General features: G+C 39.4%; 1 protein-coding gene across 15 annotated transcripts in view, besides 1 other annotated feature; it reads left to right on the top strand.

Moving 5' to 3' along the window:
- RTTN (rotatin) overlaps positions 1 to 16,663 on the top strand; it is a 202,657-nt gene that overhangs the window by 162,667 nt on the left and 23,327 nt on the right. For 13 of the 15 annotated variants that reach the window (NM_001318520.2, XM_047437468.1, XM_017025693.2 and 10 more), the window contains 3 exons: positions 12,040 to 12,145; positions 12,912 to 13,009; positions 14,220 to 14,297. In NM_001318520.2, the coding sequence (NP_001305449.1) occupies positions 12,040 to 12,145; positions 12,912 to 13,009; positions 14,220 to 14,297 (282 nt within the window). Of the gene's footprint in view, positions 1 to 12,039; positions 12,146 to 12,911; positions 13,010 to 14,217; positions 14,298 to 16,663 lie in introns of those variants that run through there. The other 2 variants (XR_430072.4, XM_011525905.3) reach the window with 2 other exon arrangements.
- Positions 5,716 to 6,125: an enhancer, noted in NCBI's record as "active region_13481". NCBI's record gives its function as "activates an Ori minimal core promoter by ATAC-STARR-seq in GM12878 lymphoblastoid cells {active_cell/tissue: GM12878}" and the evidence as "EXISTENCE:reporter gene assay evidence [ECO:0000049][PMID:35858748]".

The raw sequence follows: 16,663 nt of genomic DNA, 5'->3' as shown, positions 1-16,663 counted from the left end.
TCCTGTCATCCTGGGATATCCATTCACCTGGTTCCAGGAATTCCTTTACCTCTGTGCTATGTGCAGTCTCCTGCATCCTGCATGCTGTCTCCCATCTCCTGTGGCCTTCTCTCCTGGTTAATGCTCTTCATTTTTGCGTAGCGTCTCTTCTCCCTTAGCTTTCAGAGAAAAGGTACTGAGGAGGTCTTTTGAGATCTAAATGACTGAAAGTCTTTTATCGCCCTTACATATAATTTATAGTTAGGCTAGTGAGAATTCTGGATTGGAAATCATTTACTTCAGAATTTAGAAGCCATAGTCTGTTCTTTTTAATTCCAAATGTTACTATAGAGAATTCTGAAGCCTTGGCTGGGCGCGGTGCTCATGCCTGTAATCCCAGCACGTTGGGAGGCTGAGGCGGGCGGATCACGAGGTCAGGAGATCGACACCATCCTGGCTAACACAGTGAAACCCCATCTCTACTAAAAACACAAAAAAATTAGCCAGACATGGCGGCGGGCACCTGTAGTCCCAGCTACTCGGGAGGCTGAGGCAGGAGAATGGTGTGAACCCGGGACGGGGAGCTTGCAGTGAGCAGAGATCACGCCACTGCACTCTATCCTGGGCGACAGAGCGAGACTCCGTCTCAAAAAAAAAAAAAAAAAAAAAAAAAAAGAAAATTCCAAAGCCCTTAGAATTCCTGGTTTTTCTCTTCCTGGAAGTTTTTAGAATCTTTATTTTTTCTCGTATTCTAAAATGTTTAGATGAAGCATCCAGGTGTGGATCTGTTTTAGCCATTGTACTGGGCTCTCTTGGGGATTCTTTCCATCTATAAACTCATGCTTTCTAAATTACTTCAGAGACATTCCCTGTACTTTGTATGCTCTGTACATTTGGAACTCCTGTGAAGTTTTTTTTTTTCGCTATGTAATCTCTCTTTGCTGTCTTTTCCTCTATTTATTTTAGTCTCTCTTTTCTATTTGGCAGCTTTTCTTGGTGTCTGGTAATCTTGATTATGTGCTGTATTTAAGACTGGGAAACTCAAAGCAGATTGACATCCCTGAGCATATGAGTGCAACTTGTCAATTGCTGTCCAAGGGGACCAATGGGGGTTATTTTGTAGGCTTGTCTTCTGGGGCTTATCAGATTCCCTGGAGAATGGTCTTCTGATCTCTTTCCTGGAGGTGAAAACCCAACTGCCAAATGTTATGTAGCCAAGTAGGAGACGACAGCTGAGGTCTCAGAATTTAGTTTGCACAATTTCACTTAATCCTTCAAAGGTTTTAGTAGAATACCCTTGCCCACAAATTTTCCTGTCTCTGCCAGTTCAGAATCCTAATTTATCCTCTCCAGAGACTAAGCATCCGGGATTTTGCAAGGGCTGGGAGGAAGAGTGGCTTAGTTACATAGAAACTGGTGGCTGGCGGGCAGGATCTGGGCATGTAACTGCATTTTAGAGACTTGAAGCAATCCTTCATCCTCACGTCCAGGGATGCCTGGTGCTAAATTTCTTCAGCCTTGGGCACTTCAGTGGATAGATTGGGGTAGTTTTCAGCTTTCCCCACTCACCACTTAGAATTCAAGTTTCCCAAGCCTAATACACTTGCCTCTCATCCATCTGCTTTCTCGTTTTCAGGCTTGTGTGTGTGTGTGTGTGTGTGCAATCCCATTTTTGTCATTTTAATGGGATTTCAGGAGGGAATAAAAGACATATCTGTGCACACAACTATTTCCTTAGGAGTCTTAACTCCGACCCAACCCTGCTCCCAATTGCTAGTGAGCAATTTTTTATTTTTATTTTATTTTTTATTTTTATTTATTTATTTATTTTTGAGACAGAGTCTCACTCTGTCACCCAGGCTGGAGTGCAGCGTGGCCCGATCTCAGCTCACTGCAACCTCTGCCTCCCAAGTTCAAGTGATTCTCCTGCCTCAAGCCTCCCAAGAAGCTGGGATTACAGGCGCTTGCCACCGTGCCCAGCTAATTTTTATATTTTTCGCATGTTTGTTGGCCAAACTGGTCTCGAACTCCTGACCTCAGGTGTTCCGTCCACCTTGGCCTCCCGAAGGGCTGGGATTACAAGGCGTGAGCCACCACACCTGGCCCCATTATCATTTGTTTCAAGAAATTTTTCAATTTTCTTCTTAATTTTTTCATTAACCCACTGGACATTCAGGAGCATATTGTTTAATTTTCATATGTTTGTATAGTTTCCAAAATTCCTCTTGTTATTGATTTCCAGTTTTATTCTACTCTGGTCATAGAAGATGCTTGATATTATTTCAATTTCTTGAATGTTTTAAGACTTGTTTTGTGAACCTAACATATGGAATATCCTACAGAATGATCCATATGCTGAGGAGAAGAATGTGTATTCTGCAGCCATTAGATGAAATGTTCGGTAAATATCTATTAGGTCCGTTTGGTCTTTAGTGCAGATTAAATCCAGTGTTTCTTTGGTGATTTTCTTTCTGGAAGATCTGTCTGTTCAATGCTGAAAGTAGGGTGTTGAAGTCTCCAGCCATTATCGTCTTGAGATCTCGCTCTCTCTTTAGTTCTAATATTTGCTTTATGTATCTCAGTGCTCCAGTGATGGGTACATATATACTCACAATCATTGTATCCTCTTGCTGCATTGACTGCATTATCATTATATAATGATCTTCTTTGTCTGTCCTTACAGTTTTTGTTTTGACATCTATTTTGTCTAAGTATAGCTACTCCCAATTTTTTTTTTGTTTTCATTGGCATGGAATGTCTTTTTCCATCCCTTTATTTTCAGTCTGTATATATTTTTATTGGTGAAATATGTTTCTTGTAGGCAACAGATAAGTGGGCATTGTTTTTTCATCCCTTCAGCCACTGTGTGTGTTTTTATTGTAGAGTTTAGTCCATAGTCCATTTACATTGAATGTTGTTATTGACAAGTAGGGACTGCCTTCTGCCGTTTTGTTATTTGTTTTCTAATTGTTTTGTGATCTCATTCTTTAATTCCTTCTGTCTTTCTTTTAGTGAAGATGATTTTCTTTGGTGGTATGTTAATTTCTTCTTAGTTTTTGTGTCTCCATTTGTATCCTTTTTGGTAAAAGGTTACCATGATGAGGCTTGCAAATACCTTCTTATAGCCCATTATTTTAAACTAATGACAGCTTAGTACTGATGGCATGAACAAGCACACATGCAAAAGAAAACTAATAAAAACTCTACACTTTAACTTTATCTCCCCTGCTTTTTAACTTTTAGTTGTTTCTCTTTATGTCTTATTGTACTGTCTTTGTCTTAAAAAGTTGCTGTAGTTATTATTTTCGATTGGTTCATAATTTAGACTCTCTACTTAAGATAAGAGTAGTTTACACAACACCATTACAGTGTTACAATAGTCTCTGTTTTTCTGCGTGCTTACTATTACCAGTGAGTTTTGTAACATCAGATGATTTCTTCTTGCTCACGAACATCCTTTTATTTCAGATTGAAGAACTCACTTTACTATTTCTTGTAGGACAGGTCTAGTGTTGTTGAAATCCTTCAGCTTTTGTTTGTCTAAGGTTTTTATTTCTCTTCATACTTGAAGGATAGTTTCATCGTATGTACTATTCTAGGGTAAAGTTTTTTTGTTGTTTTTCTTTTTTTTTTTCCCTGCAGCACTTGAAATATGTCATGCCACTCTCTCGTGACCTGTAACATTTCCAGATATATTGGAGGTCCATTGTATGTTGTTTCTTTTCTCTTGCTGCTTTTAGGATCTTTTCTTTATCCTTGACCTTTAGGAGTTTGATTATGAAATATCTTAAATGTCTTCTTTGGGTTAAATCTGCTTGGTGGTCTCTAACCTTCTTGTACTTGAATATTGATCTTTCTCTAAGTTTTGTAAGTTCTCTGATATTATCCCTTTGAATAAACTTTCTACCACTATCTCTTTGTCTTAAATTTGCCCTTTCGAGGCTATTTTTTAGGTTTTATAGGCATGCTTCATTCTTCTTTATTCTCATTTTTCTTTTATCTCCTTCCCCTGACTCTGTGTTTTCAAATAGCTTGCCTTCAAGTTTACTAATTCTTTCTTTTACTTGGTCAGCTCTACTAATATGAGACTGATGTATTTGTCAGTATGCCAATTGAATTTTTAAACTCCAGAATTTCTGTTTCATTCTTCTTAATTATTTAAATCTCTCTGTTAAATTTATCTGATAAAATTCTGAATTCCTTCTCTTATTTTGAATTTCTTTTGAGCTCCCCTACCACAGCAATTTTGAATTCTCTGTTTGAAAGTTCACATATCTCTTGTTTCTCCACGCTTGGTCTCTGATGCCTTATTTTAGTTCATTTGGTGGGGTCATTTTTTCCTGGATGATCTTGATGCTTTTAGATGTTCGTCAATATCTGGACATTGAAGAGTTAGGTATTTGTTTTAGTCTTTGCAGTCTGGGCTTGTTTGTGTGTGTCCTCCTTGAGGAGGCTTCCCAGGCATTCCAAGGGAATTGGACCTTAAGCCCAATAACACTTCGTTTCTTGCAGACTTGTAGAGGTACTGCCTTGGTGGTCTTGGATAAGATCTGGAAGAATTCTCCAGATTACCAGGCAAAGACTCTTGTTCTTTTACCTTACTTTCTCCCAAACAAACAGAGTCTCTCTCTATATACTGAGCAGCCTGGAACTGGGGATGTGGTGATATTAGCATCCCTGTGGCTACCACCACTGGAACTGCACTGGATTAGTCCTGATGTCAACACAACACTGGGTTTCTCTCAAGCCCACTGCAGTCGCTACCTGCTTACCTGTGTTCACTCAAGGCCCTAGGACTTCATAATCAGTAGGTGACAAAGCCAGCCAGGTTTCTGTCCTTCCCTTCAGAGCAGTAAGTTCCCCCAGACCCTGAGCAGGTCCAGAGATGCTATCTGTGAGCCAGGGATTAGAGTCAAAAACCTTAGAATTTTACCTGATGTTCTATTCTAATGTGACTAACCTGGCACTCAAACCACAATACTGGGTCCTTTCTGCTCTTCTCTCCCCTTTCCACAGGAAAAGGAGACTCTCCTTTTGGCCACCAATACCACGGTCCCATGGGAGTTCTACCACGCTGCTGCCAATGTTCACTTAGAGCCCAAGGGCACTTCTGTCATTCTGTGACGAATGTTGCCAGACCTGGGGCTCACCCTTCAGGACAATCAGTTCCCCTCTGGCCCAGAGATGGTCCAGAAATACTGTCCAAGAGGCTCGGCCTGGATTCAGGGAGCCCAAGAGCCTACTTGTTGCTCTACCCACTGTGGCTGAGCTGATACCTAAGATGCAAGACAAAGTCCCCTTTACTTTCCCCTCTGCTTTTCTCAAACAAAAGGAGTCTTTTGTTGTAGCCACCACAGCTGCGAATGTGCTGGGTCATACCTAAAGTCAGCACGTCCCAGAGCCCAAGGCCTGTGGTGTACTATCTGGATATTGCTGCTGGTTATTCAGGGCCTGAGGGCTCTTTAGTCAGCAAGTAATGAATCCTGCCAGGACTGGTTTCTTCCCTTCAAGGCAGTGGGTTCCCTTGGCCCACATTTTGTCTATTTTGTCATCCAGGAATGGGCCTGGAATGGAGGTCTCACAACTCTGCCCAGTGCCCTGTTCTATTGTGACTGAGCTGGTATCTAAGATGCAAGACAAAGTCTTGTTTACTCTCTTCCTCAAGTAGAAGGAAGGAGTCACTTTTGTTGCTGCGAGCCGCACTGCCTGGGATTGAGGGAGAAATGGTGTAAGGCCTCCCTTAGCTGCCCTGGCTGTTGTCTCCCTGTGTCACATGCCACCATAGTCCAGTGGCTCTAAGCCCAGCCTAATACTAGGAGTTGCCTAGGAATTGCAGGCCTTGTGTCCAAGACTGCCTTTCAAGTTTACCTAGGACCCCAGAGCACTGGCTTTACGGTGGCAAGGCTTGCCAAGAAACTCCACTTCTGACTGCTGGTTTGGGCAGTTGATCTAAATGATCTCTCCATGCATGGGTGTTGGCTGAGCCCAGCACAGCTTTGCTCTCCACTGTGACAGAGCAGCACTGAATTCAGTGTGAAGTCCCCCAGTCGCTGCTCTCTCCCTCCTCCAAGTGTGCAAGTTAGCTCGCCATACCAGGCAGCTGCTGCTGATAGATAGGGGAGGGGTGGTGATTCAAGACTATATCTCCGACACTTTTCAGTTCCTCTTTTAGCCGTACACATTAAAACCAGGTACTGTGATTGCTCACCTGATTTTTGGTTCTCGTGACGGTGCTTTTCTGTGTGCATATAGTTGTTAAAATTTGGTGTTCCTGTTGGGGGAGGACAGACAGTATAGGCTTCTATTCTGCCACCTTGCTGCACTCACCCAGCCGATTCTTTTTTAACTGTTAGGTTCGGGGTACATGTGTAGGTTTGTTATATAGGTAAACTTGTATCATGGGGGTTTGGTGTATAGATTATTTCATCACCCAGGTACTAAGCCTGGTACCCAATAGTTATTTTTTCTGATCCTCTCCCTCCTGCTACCCTTCACCCACTGGTAGGCCCCATTGTCTATTGTTCCCCTCTTTGTGTCCCGGTGCTCTCATCATTTAGCTCCTACTTATAAGTGAGAACAAGCAGTATTTGGTTTTCTGTTCCTGCATTGTTTCCTAAGGATCATGGCCTCGAGCTCCAACCATGTTCATGCAGAGGACATGATCTCACTCTTTTTTATGGCTGCATAGTATTCCATGGTGTATATGTGCCACATTTTCTTTATCCAGTTTTCCATTGATGGGCATTTAAGTTGATTCCATGTCTTTACCATTGCAGATAGTGCTGCAGTGAACATTTGTATTCATGTGTCTTTATGATAGAATGATTTATATTCCTTTGGGTGTATACCCTGTAATGAGATTATAGGGTTGAATTGCAGTCCTTTTTTTAGCTTGTTGAGGAATCACCACACTGCCTTCCCAATGGTTGAACTAATTTGCACTCCCACTGTGTATAAGCATTCCCTTTTCTCCACAACCTCATCAGCGTGTGTTATTTTTTGACTTCTTAGTAGCCATTCTGACTGGTGTGAGATGGTATCTTACTGTGGCTTTGATTTGCATTTCTCTAATGATCAGTGATGTTGAGCTTTTTTTCATGTGCTTGTTGGCAATGTGTATGTCTTCTTTTGAGAAGTGTCTGTTTGTGTCCTTTGCCCACTTCTTAATGGGGTTGTTTTTTTCTTGTAAATTTAAGTTCCTTGTAGTTGCTGGATATTAGACCTTTGTCTGATGCATAGTTTGCAGATATTTTCTCCCATTCTGTAGGTTGTCTGTTTACTCTGTTGATAGTTTCTTTTGCTGTGCAGACACGCTTTAGTTTAATTAGATTTCATTTGTCAATTTTTGCTTTTGTTGCAGTTGCTTTTCACATTTTCATCATGAAATCTCTGCCACTTTCTGTGTCCAGAATGGTATTGCCTAGGTTGTCTTCCAGCGTTTTAATAGTTTTGGGGTTTATATTTAAGTCTTTAATCCATCTTCAGTTTATTTCTGTATATATGTAAGGAAGGGGTCCAGTTTCAATGTATGTATATAATTAGTCAGTTATCCCAGCACCATTTATCGAACAGGGAGTTCTTTCCCCATTGTTTGTTTTTGTCAGGTTTGTCTAAGGTCAGATGGTTCTAGGTGTACACCCTTATTTCTAGGCTCTGTATTCTGTTCCATCGGTCTATGTGTTTATTTTTTATACCATTACCATGCTTTGGTTACTGTAGCCCTGTAGTATAGTTTGAAGTCAAGTAGCTTGATGCCTCCAGCTTTTTTCTTTTTGCTTAGAATTGCCTTGGCGATTTGGGCTCTTTTTTGGTTCCATATGAATTTTAAAAGTTTTTTCTAGTTCTATGAAGAATGTGATTGGTGGTTCGATAGGGATAGTATTGAATCTACAAATTGCTTTGGGCAGTATGGCCATTTTAGCAATGTTGATTCTTCCTAGCCATGTTCATGGAATGTTTTTCCATTCATTCGTGTCACCACTGATTTCTTTCAGCAGTGTTTTGTATTTCTCCTTGTAGAGATCTTTCACCTCCCTGGTTAGCTGTATTCCTAGGTATTGCATTTTGTTTTATTTTATTTTGTTTTGTTTTGGTGGCAGTTGTGAATGGGATTGCATTCCTGATTTGCCTCTCGGCTTGATTGTTGGTATATAGGAATGTTAGTGACTTTTGCACATTGATTTTGTATCCTGAGACTTTGCTAAAATTGTTTATCAGCTTAAGGAGCTTTTGGGCTGAGACGATGGGGTTTTCTAGATATAGGATCATGTCATCTGCAAACAGGGATAATTTGACTTCCTCTCTTCCTATTTGGATGCCCTTTATTTCCTTCTCTTGCCTGATTGCCCTGGCCAGAACTTCCAGTACCGTGTTGAATAGGAATGGTGAAAGAGGGCATCCTTGTCTTGTGCCAGTTTTCAAGGGGATTGCTTCTAGCTTTTGCCCATTCAGTATGATGTAGACAGCAGGTTTGTCATAGATGGCTCTCGTTATTTTAATATATGTTACTTCAATACCTAATTTGTTAGGAGTTTTTAATATGAAAAGATGTTGAATTTTACTGAAAGCCTCTGTTGAGATAATCGTGTTATTTTTGTTTCTAGTTCTGTTTATGTGATGAATCATGTTTATTTGTTTGCACGTATGTTGAACCAACCTTGCATCCTAGGGATAAAGCCTTCTTGTTCGTAGTGGATTAGCTTTTTGATGTGCTGCTGGATTCAGTTTGCTAGTATGTTGTTGAGGGTTTTTGCATTGCTGTTCATCAAGGATATTGACCCTTTTTTTTGTTGTTGTGTCTCTGCCAGTTTTGGGTCAGGATGATGCTAGCCTCATAGAATGAATTGAGGAGGAGTTCCTACTTCTCATTTTTTTGGGGAACAGTGTCTGTAAGAATGGTATCAGCTCTTCTTTATAGATCTGGTAGAATTTGGCTGTCAATCCATCTGATCCATGGCTTTTATGGTGTGCAGGCTATTTATTTCTGATTCCATTTTAGAGCTCATTGTTGGTCTGTTCAGGGATTCAGTTTCTTCCTGGTTCAGTCTTGGGAGGATATATGTGGCCAGGAATTCATCCACTTCTAGATTTTTAGTTTGTGTGCATAGAAGTGTTTATAATCGTCTCTGATGTTTATTTCTCTGGGGTCAGTGGTAATATCCCCTTTGTCATTTCTCATTATGTTTATTTGGATCTTTTCTCGTTTCTTCATTAATCTAGCCTAGTGGTCCATATATTTTATTATTTTTTTCAAAAAACTGGCTCCTCACTTCATTGGTCTTTTGAATGGTTTTTCATGTCTCAGTCTCCTTTAGCTCTGATTCTGATTATTTCTTGTGTTCTACTAGCTTTGGGGTTGGTTTGCTCTTTCTTCTCTAGTTCTTTTAGTTGTGATGTTAGGTGCAAACTTGAGATCTTCCTAACTTTTCAATATGGGCATTTAGCGCTCAAAATTTTCCTGTTAACACTGCCTTAGCTGTGTCCCAGAGATTCTGGTATGTTATCATTGTTCTCATTAGTTTCAAAGAACTTACTGATTTCTGCCTTAATTTCATTATTTGCCCAAAAGTTATTCAGGAGCAGGATGCTTAATTTCAATGTAAATGAATGGTTTTGTGCAATTTTCTTTGTATTGAATTCTGTTTTTATTGTGCTGTGGTCTGAGAGTGTGGATGGTATATGTATTAGACCATTCTTACATTGCTGTAAAGAAATACCTGACACGGAGTAATTTATAAAGAAAAGAGGTTTAATTGGCTCATGGTTCCACAGGCTGTAAGGAAGCATAGTGCTGGCATCTACTCAGCTTCTGGGAAGGCCTCAGGAAACTTTCAATTATGGCAGAAGGGGGAGCGAGGCATCTCACATGGTGGGAGCAGGAGGAAGAGAGAGGGGCAAGATGCCACACACTTTTAAACAACCAGATCTCACGAGAACTCTGTTACAGGAACAGAACCAAAGGGACGGTGCTAAACCATTCATGAAGGATCTACCCCAATGATCCAGTTCCCAACATTGGGGACTACAGTTGAACATGAGATTTGGGTGGGGACACAGATCCAAACCATATCAGTACAATTTTGATTTTTTTGAATTTGCGGAAATTTGTTTTGTGTCTGATTGTGTGGTTGATTTTAGAGTATGTGCCATGTGGCAATGAGAAGAATGTATACTCTGTTGTATTCTGGTGGGGAGTTCTGTAGATGTCTATCAGATCCATTTGGTCCAGTGTTGAGTTCAGGTCTTGAATATCTTTGTTAATTTTTTGCCTGGATTATCTGTCTAATACTGTCAATGGGGTGTTGAAGTCTCCCACGTTACCCTATGGGAGTCTAAATCTCTTTGAAGATCTCTTAAGAACTTGCTTTATGAATCTGGATGTTTCTGTGTTTAGTGCATATATATTTAGGATAGCTAGGTTGCCTTGTTGAATTGAGTCCTTTACTATTTGTAATGCCCTTCTTTGTCTTTTTTATCTTTGTTGGTTTAAAGTCTATTTTGTCTGAAATTAGAATTGCAATCCCTGCTTTTTTCTGTTTTTCATTGCTTGGTAGCCTTTTTCCATCCCTTTATTTTGAGCCTATGTGTGTCATTGCATGAGATGGGTGAGTGCCTGCAGGCAAGGCGGCATGAAGGAGGCTGCAGTGGGGGAAGAATGCTGGTGCGTGTCCACTGGGGTCACTCTGCTAGAGCACTCTGCTAGTCAGGCAGTCTGCCAGTGCAGGAGCTACCGTATGGGCCCGTACCTGGGAGCTTCACTCCAAGCAGGTGTGGCTAGGCTCGGGCTCTGGGAGAAGCCAGCAGACCAAAGGGTGGACCAGATTGGCCCCATCTCATGGGCAAGACCACCCTGCAGAGTTGAGGTCCCACAGTTCCCCTAGGGATAAAGTCTCCTATGGGAGCAAGTCTAGCCTAAGGGGATGGGCATCCTTGGCCATGCTCCGCTATAGACACTCCCATACCAAACTCTCTGGGCTCTGCCCCAGCTGGAGTTCTGCTTCCACTGCTTCCCTAAGCAGCTTTCCCTGACAACTCAAATGTCCATGGTGGTCCAGGGGTTCCTTCCTACCAGGATTCCAGCGGCCTGTGGGGAGAGCGAATTTTGTTCCTTGCCTTTTCAACTTCCCCCTCTGCAGGAGTTGTTGGGGGCCAGGAACAAGTTGTGGTGCTTGGTAGCCCCGAGCAGGGTCCCCAGCTTCCTCCCCCTTCAGCCCCAGCTCTGTGTTTTCCCTCCATCTGCTCTCGATGCCCTCCCTCTGAAGATCTGCTAGGAGTGTGCCAGTCTTCCTGGTGTCCCAGTCCCTCAGTGGGAGATGTTCCTCCTGGCTGTATCTAGTTGGCCATCTTGGAGCAGAAATTTCTAGTTTTGATTTTTAATAAAAATGTATGGAATCTGTTATTGTGTCTGCTTTTGTACATATTAGAAATTTTTAAGTGAAAATTTTTCTAGCTCATAAATTTAAATGTATAAAGGAAATATACAGAAATAGTAGTTTCGGAATTACAAATGATTTTCCATTTCTCTGAAAGTCAAAAAAGTTACACACTATTTTTTGAGAAAATGTTATATGACAGGTGCATGTTACCATAGAAACGAAAGATGGAAAGAACCAAATCACCTGAGATATAGGGGTAGTTTAGATAGAAATGGAGAGAGGGGAATGTGTCCCCAGAAGGAGAAAGGAGGAAATTGATGACAGTTCTCCTGTTCAGCAGTTTTACAAGGACCCATTTTAATAAGGTACACACATATATATACAATATGCGCTGGTGAATTTGAGTAAGTATATGAGCTTGCTACGTGAAAGCTAAATAAAGCTTTTTTCTGTAGATGATGAGTCTTTAAGAATGATTGTTGTTCTTTTCCATATTATAAGCAACTTATACAGTCTTATCCACGCAGAACATTCTCAAATATTAATGATTTATCAAAATCCAGTGAATTTCACATGATAGTTGAAACCTAGCAATATCTTTTAAGTAGAAAATGTTCTTTATTCACAACAGTTTTGCTCCAGATTAAATATTTCTTCAAGGCAGTTTGATTTATATTCTCTGCAGTGCTATGAAGGGAAATCCTCCAAAGATATCCTGAAAAGAGTAGCTGCAAATGCATTGATGTCACTGCTGGCTGTCAGTAGAAGAGCACAGAAACATGCTTTGAAAGGTGAGCCACATGACACATCAGCTGTTTTGATGGCATTATCAATTCATATGTTTTGTTGCTTGTTCAAGTTAATTTTCTTTGGACTCAAAATGTAAAAAACGTATAGTATAATCTCAGTGTCACTAAAAATAATTTTTTTTCCCATACAGAAGCAGTAAATATGCATTACTTTTCAAATAAAAAGATTAGACATAGTTTGTTTTTGTTTGTTTAATATGTGATGGTTCTTGCTCTAAAGAACCTATATGTAAATATTAGGGAAGCTAAAAGGTAACACATTGAGTTTCATTATAATTAAATATTACTATCCAGAAGCACTCACTGCATACCTGAACAAAACCCACATAGTTTTGATGGTAAAAACAGCAACAGATGATTCCATATTTTCGTATAAATTTCCCTCTTGAGTGTTGTAATTTCTCATTTGGGAATCGGAGAATGTAGATCTGAGAATTAAAAGAGAATAATGGCAACATCAAGTCCATTAATATCAATTGTGATTTGCGACTACAACAAATGATGTATTCCTCAAGTTGTAAATTGGATTTGGGTAGTATCTTACTAAAAACTGAAAACAAGTGGACTTCAGCATTTTAGTTCTCTTACTTATCCCCCCTCTGATTCATTAATCTCTGACTGAAAATTCTAAAATGAAGTGGGTCAGAAATAGAAAATGTTACCTTTTTGAGAATCTGATTGGTATATGTGGTTATAACTTACTTGGAAATAGAATATCCTTTTGACTACTGCAGATTTTGTCTTTCAGCCAATCTTATAGACAATTGCATGGAGCAGATGAAACACATAAATGCACAACTGAACCTAGATTCTCTGAGGCCTGGGAAAGCAGCATTGAAAAAAAAGGTAACATTCTGGGATAAATGAATGGCTATATATAGAGACCATTCTCCAGTCCTCTTGTGCCTAGAAATGAGCACGAGCTTGAAATGAGTGTCTCATTTAGAAGAAAGGTACAGATGGATAAATTAATGAGACTTCTACATTAGCAGATTGTTGGCTTTTTTTGGTCTTAATTCTTACTTGAAGATCTTTAGACAACATCTGTCTATTATGTACTGTTGTTATTATAAACATTGGAAATATCCACATATACATGATACTATGCCAGATAAATTTTTTATACTACAAAAAGAAAATCTTTATCTCAAAACAAGCATAGGTTAACTAGGAATGAGATCTGTAACAACTATAATTTATTAAGAGTTTTCTATATGTCAGCCACTATTGAAACATTTCATATTTATTATCTCATGAACAAACACTCATTACAGCATAGTCACACAACTGGTAATTGATGGAGCTAATATTTGCCCCAAATCTGGGTGGTTGCAGAGCTGGTATTCCTCATCTCTGTTTATCTCCTCCTGTGCCTTCTGAATATCTCCTCTAGCATTGAATCTGCTGGACTCATGTTTAAACTGCATGCTCAGGTAAACTGAAAATAACATAGTTATATAATAACTACTGTGGTTAACAAGATCTGCCACCCACTTATTCAACAAATGAAAGTGTGTGAATAGTATAAATATATAAATATACATATATGTGTGTAGGTAAGGCCGTTATAGCAGCACTCTATGTAATAACTAGTTTCTACTGCATTTAAGAAACCAAGACAAAGTCTTATTTAATAATGTAATTGATGCAGGAGATTGATTGTATGTTTATCAGTTCTTTTTTTTTTTTTTTTTGCCTCTTTTCCTCCCTAGCCAAAGGCCCTTCATCATTGAGAAAGTCAGCCAACACCTGATATTATTGAAAATCTCTCAGTATCTGCCTCACTTTATTGAGATGAAACATGGAGGCTATCATATATCCGAGTTCCTCCATGCTTGATAGAACAGAAATAGCTTTTTCATGGTGAATGTGCTTCTTGAGATATGGTCATCTTTCAGAGATCGTTAGCCTGTCAGTTCCCTCAAAGTTACAGTGGTTGGGCATGATTAGAGCACACCTGCATTGTCCCGTGACCCAAAGGGGAGGGAATTACTATACACAAAAAGTGAAGTATGCTGTTGCATTCACAGTTTTCAACTGCTTTTTGTTTAAATAGGAGGATGGTGTTATTAAAGAGTTAAGCATTGCCATGCAGCTCCTAAGAAACTGTCTTTATCAAAATGAGGAATGTAAAGTAAGTAGAACTACTTTTCAAAATTTTAATAGGAGTACTGGTATTAAGCAGTTTAATTTTTATGTGAGATAATGTAGTAGGAAAAATGGAAAGCTCTGACTTTTAAATTTTTAGACACACAGTTGATTGGTCCTTAAACTCAGTGTTAATTGTCAGAAATGTGTGTATCTAATCATTATTCATCGACACTGATTACATTTCTTCGCAAACTTCAGCCTCATTCTGTACTCTTAGGTATTTTAAATGTTTTACATATGGAATGAATGGCTGGATGTGTTTTATAAGGTAGATTCTTTCAAAACGGGTTGTCAAAACAACTCTTCAAGGAAATAAGTGAAGCTATCTGTATCTATAAGGAAAGAAAATGAAGAGTTTCCTGCTTCAAAGGAGAAGATAGTTAGAGCTGCTACCTAGTGTGGCCACATCCACCGAGAGGAAGTTTCTTCTAGCTCTGCTGACTCCCTGTGACCATTTACATGGCCCTTCTGTCTAAAAATCACTGAGATGTTTTGCTTCGTCTGTAAGCACTGATGATGTTTTAAACCATTGTATCAGTACTACTATAGAGGATATAATCTTGTGAACACTCTGATTTGCTTTGTCTATAGTTTTACAACACTTTTGAAATACTAGATTGATGCTTTAATGCAGAAATACTAGATTATTCTTTATAAAAGCTGGCCACGAAAATAAAAATTTTAAAAAATACTAAATTAAAGCTTTAATATAGAAAGCAAAGATAAATTATGGAAGCTTTTATTGCCTTATAAATTTTTACCTGTTTTGCTCTTACTTGTGGTAAGAGCACAACTGGAAAAACCATACCACATCTGGAAAATGGACATGTTGAACACACTTACTCCTTAAGCGATGTTAAAAAGCCAGATACATGACTCACAATTTATATTTCAAAGTAGTTTGATGGAAATTAAGTATTTATTTATACAATTTATTAAAATTCCCTATATATGAATTTATATGAACTTTTTCTCAAGACAAAAGTGCCATTAATAAACTTAATGATTCCTTCATGCTTATGATATTATGCTTGTGACTGGATGTACAGTCAGTATTTGTGTGTAAATTTAAATATATAAATTTCATGTGTATGTGCAGTTAATATTCATTCATGACACCTTATTCAGGGAAATACTCTGGAATACTTTACATGTGGGATCTACCTATAAAGATTTATGAAGTGCTAACCTGGCTACTAGTTATAAATATTGTGCTCAATTTGTATCACATTAGCCATTTACAAAAGTGTGATATCTCAATAAGTCAAAGCATTTCTGTATTTCTAAGTTGTTTAATAAGAAGTAAATCCAAAGAATATTAAGATTATCCTTGAGTATAAATATAATATTATGGAGGTAGGGATTGTTAATTTCAATTTCAGCTTTTATCAGGTGTATGGCATGTTCTCATTATTAATAGTTGGCCACTATTGGGTAATTCACCAGGTCACCCACTGCCACCCCACCCTGCTGTTTGCATATGCATAACATTAGGGGTTTTCATACTGGAAGGAGCATGGTGGCTGTGAGGTAAATGAATTAAACAGTGGACAAGGTTAGACGGAGGGGACTGTCATAGTCCAGACAAGAGATGATGACACCTTAACTTGAGCAGGTAGAAAGGAGAAGGAGGGTAGGGAGTAAATTTGAGGCATTGAGAAGAGGAGGAATGTAGAATGACTTCCAAACTCCAGTTTAAGCCACTGCATTATCATGCATTAAGAGTGCATGATAGAGCAGAGCACAGGTGTGAGAGACCCGATATTCATGCTTGCACGTGCTAGCCTCAAGAGTCTTTGGGGCATCCAGGTGAAAAATGGCTTGTGGCCTGTAGATTTTATGGGTCTGGGACTCTAAGGAGTGATACAAGCTGGGGATATTAGGAGTTATCAATGTGTAGATGGTGTTTGTGGTCCTCACTATTGTTGAAATTTCCCAAGAAAGTATGTAATGAAAACCAAGGTCATATCTTTGGAAAACAGGAACATTTAAGAGGGGGCAGAAAACAACTGAGAAGGGAATACTGGAGAAGGAATTTGGAGATTGCATTAGGCCGTTCTTGCCTTGCTATGAAGAAATATCTGAGACTAGGTAATTTATTAAAGAAAAGAGGTTTAATTGGCTCACAGTTCTGCAGGGTATAGAGGAAGCACAGTGGCGTCTGCTTCTGGGGAGGCCTCAGGAAACTTCCAATCATGACAAGAAGGCAAAAGGGGAACAGGCACATCACATTACTAGAACTGGAGCAAGAGTGAGAGAGCTGGCGAGGAGGTACCACACACTTTTAAATGACCAGATCTCATGAGATCACTCACTGTCTTGAGGAAAGCACCAAGCCATGAGGAATCC

This window comes from Homo sapiens, chromosome 18 (assembly GCF_000001405.40).
Source record: "Homo sapiens chromosome 18, GRCh38.p14 Primary Assembly".
NCBI classification, from domain to species: Eukaryota; Metazoa; Chordata; class Mammalia; order Primates; family Hominidae; genus Homo; species Homo sapiens.
The sequence above is the reverse complement of the archived record's forward strand: the minus strand, read 5'-3'. Positions and strand labels throughout refer to the sequence as shown.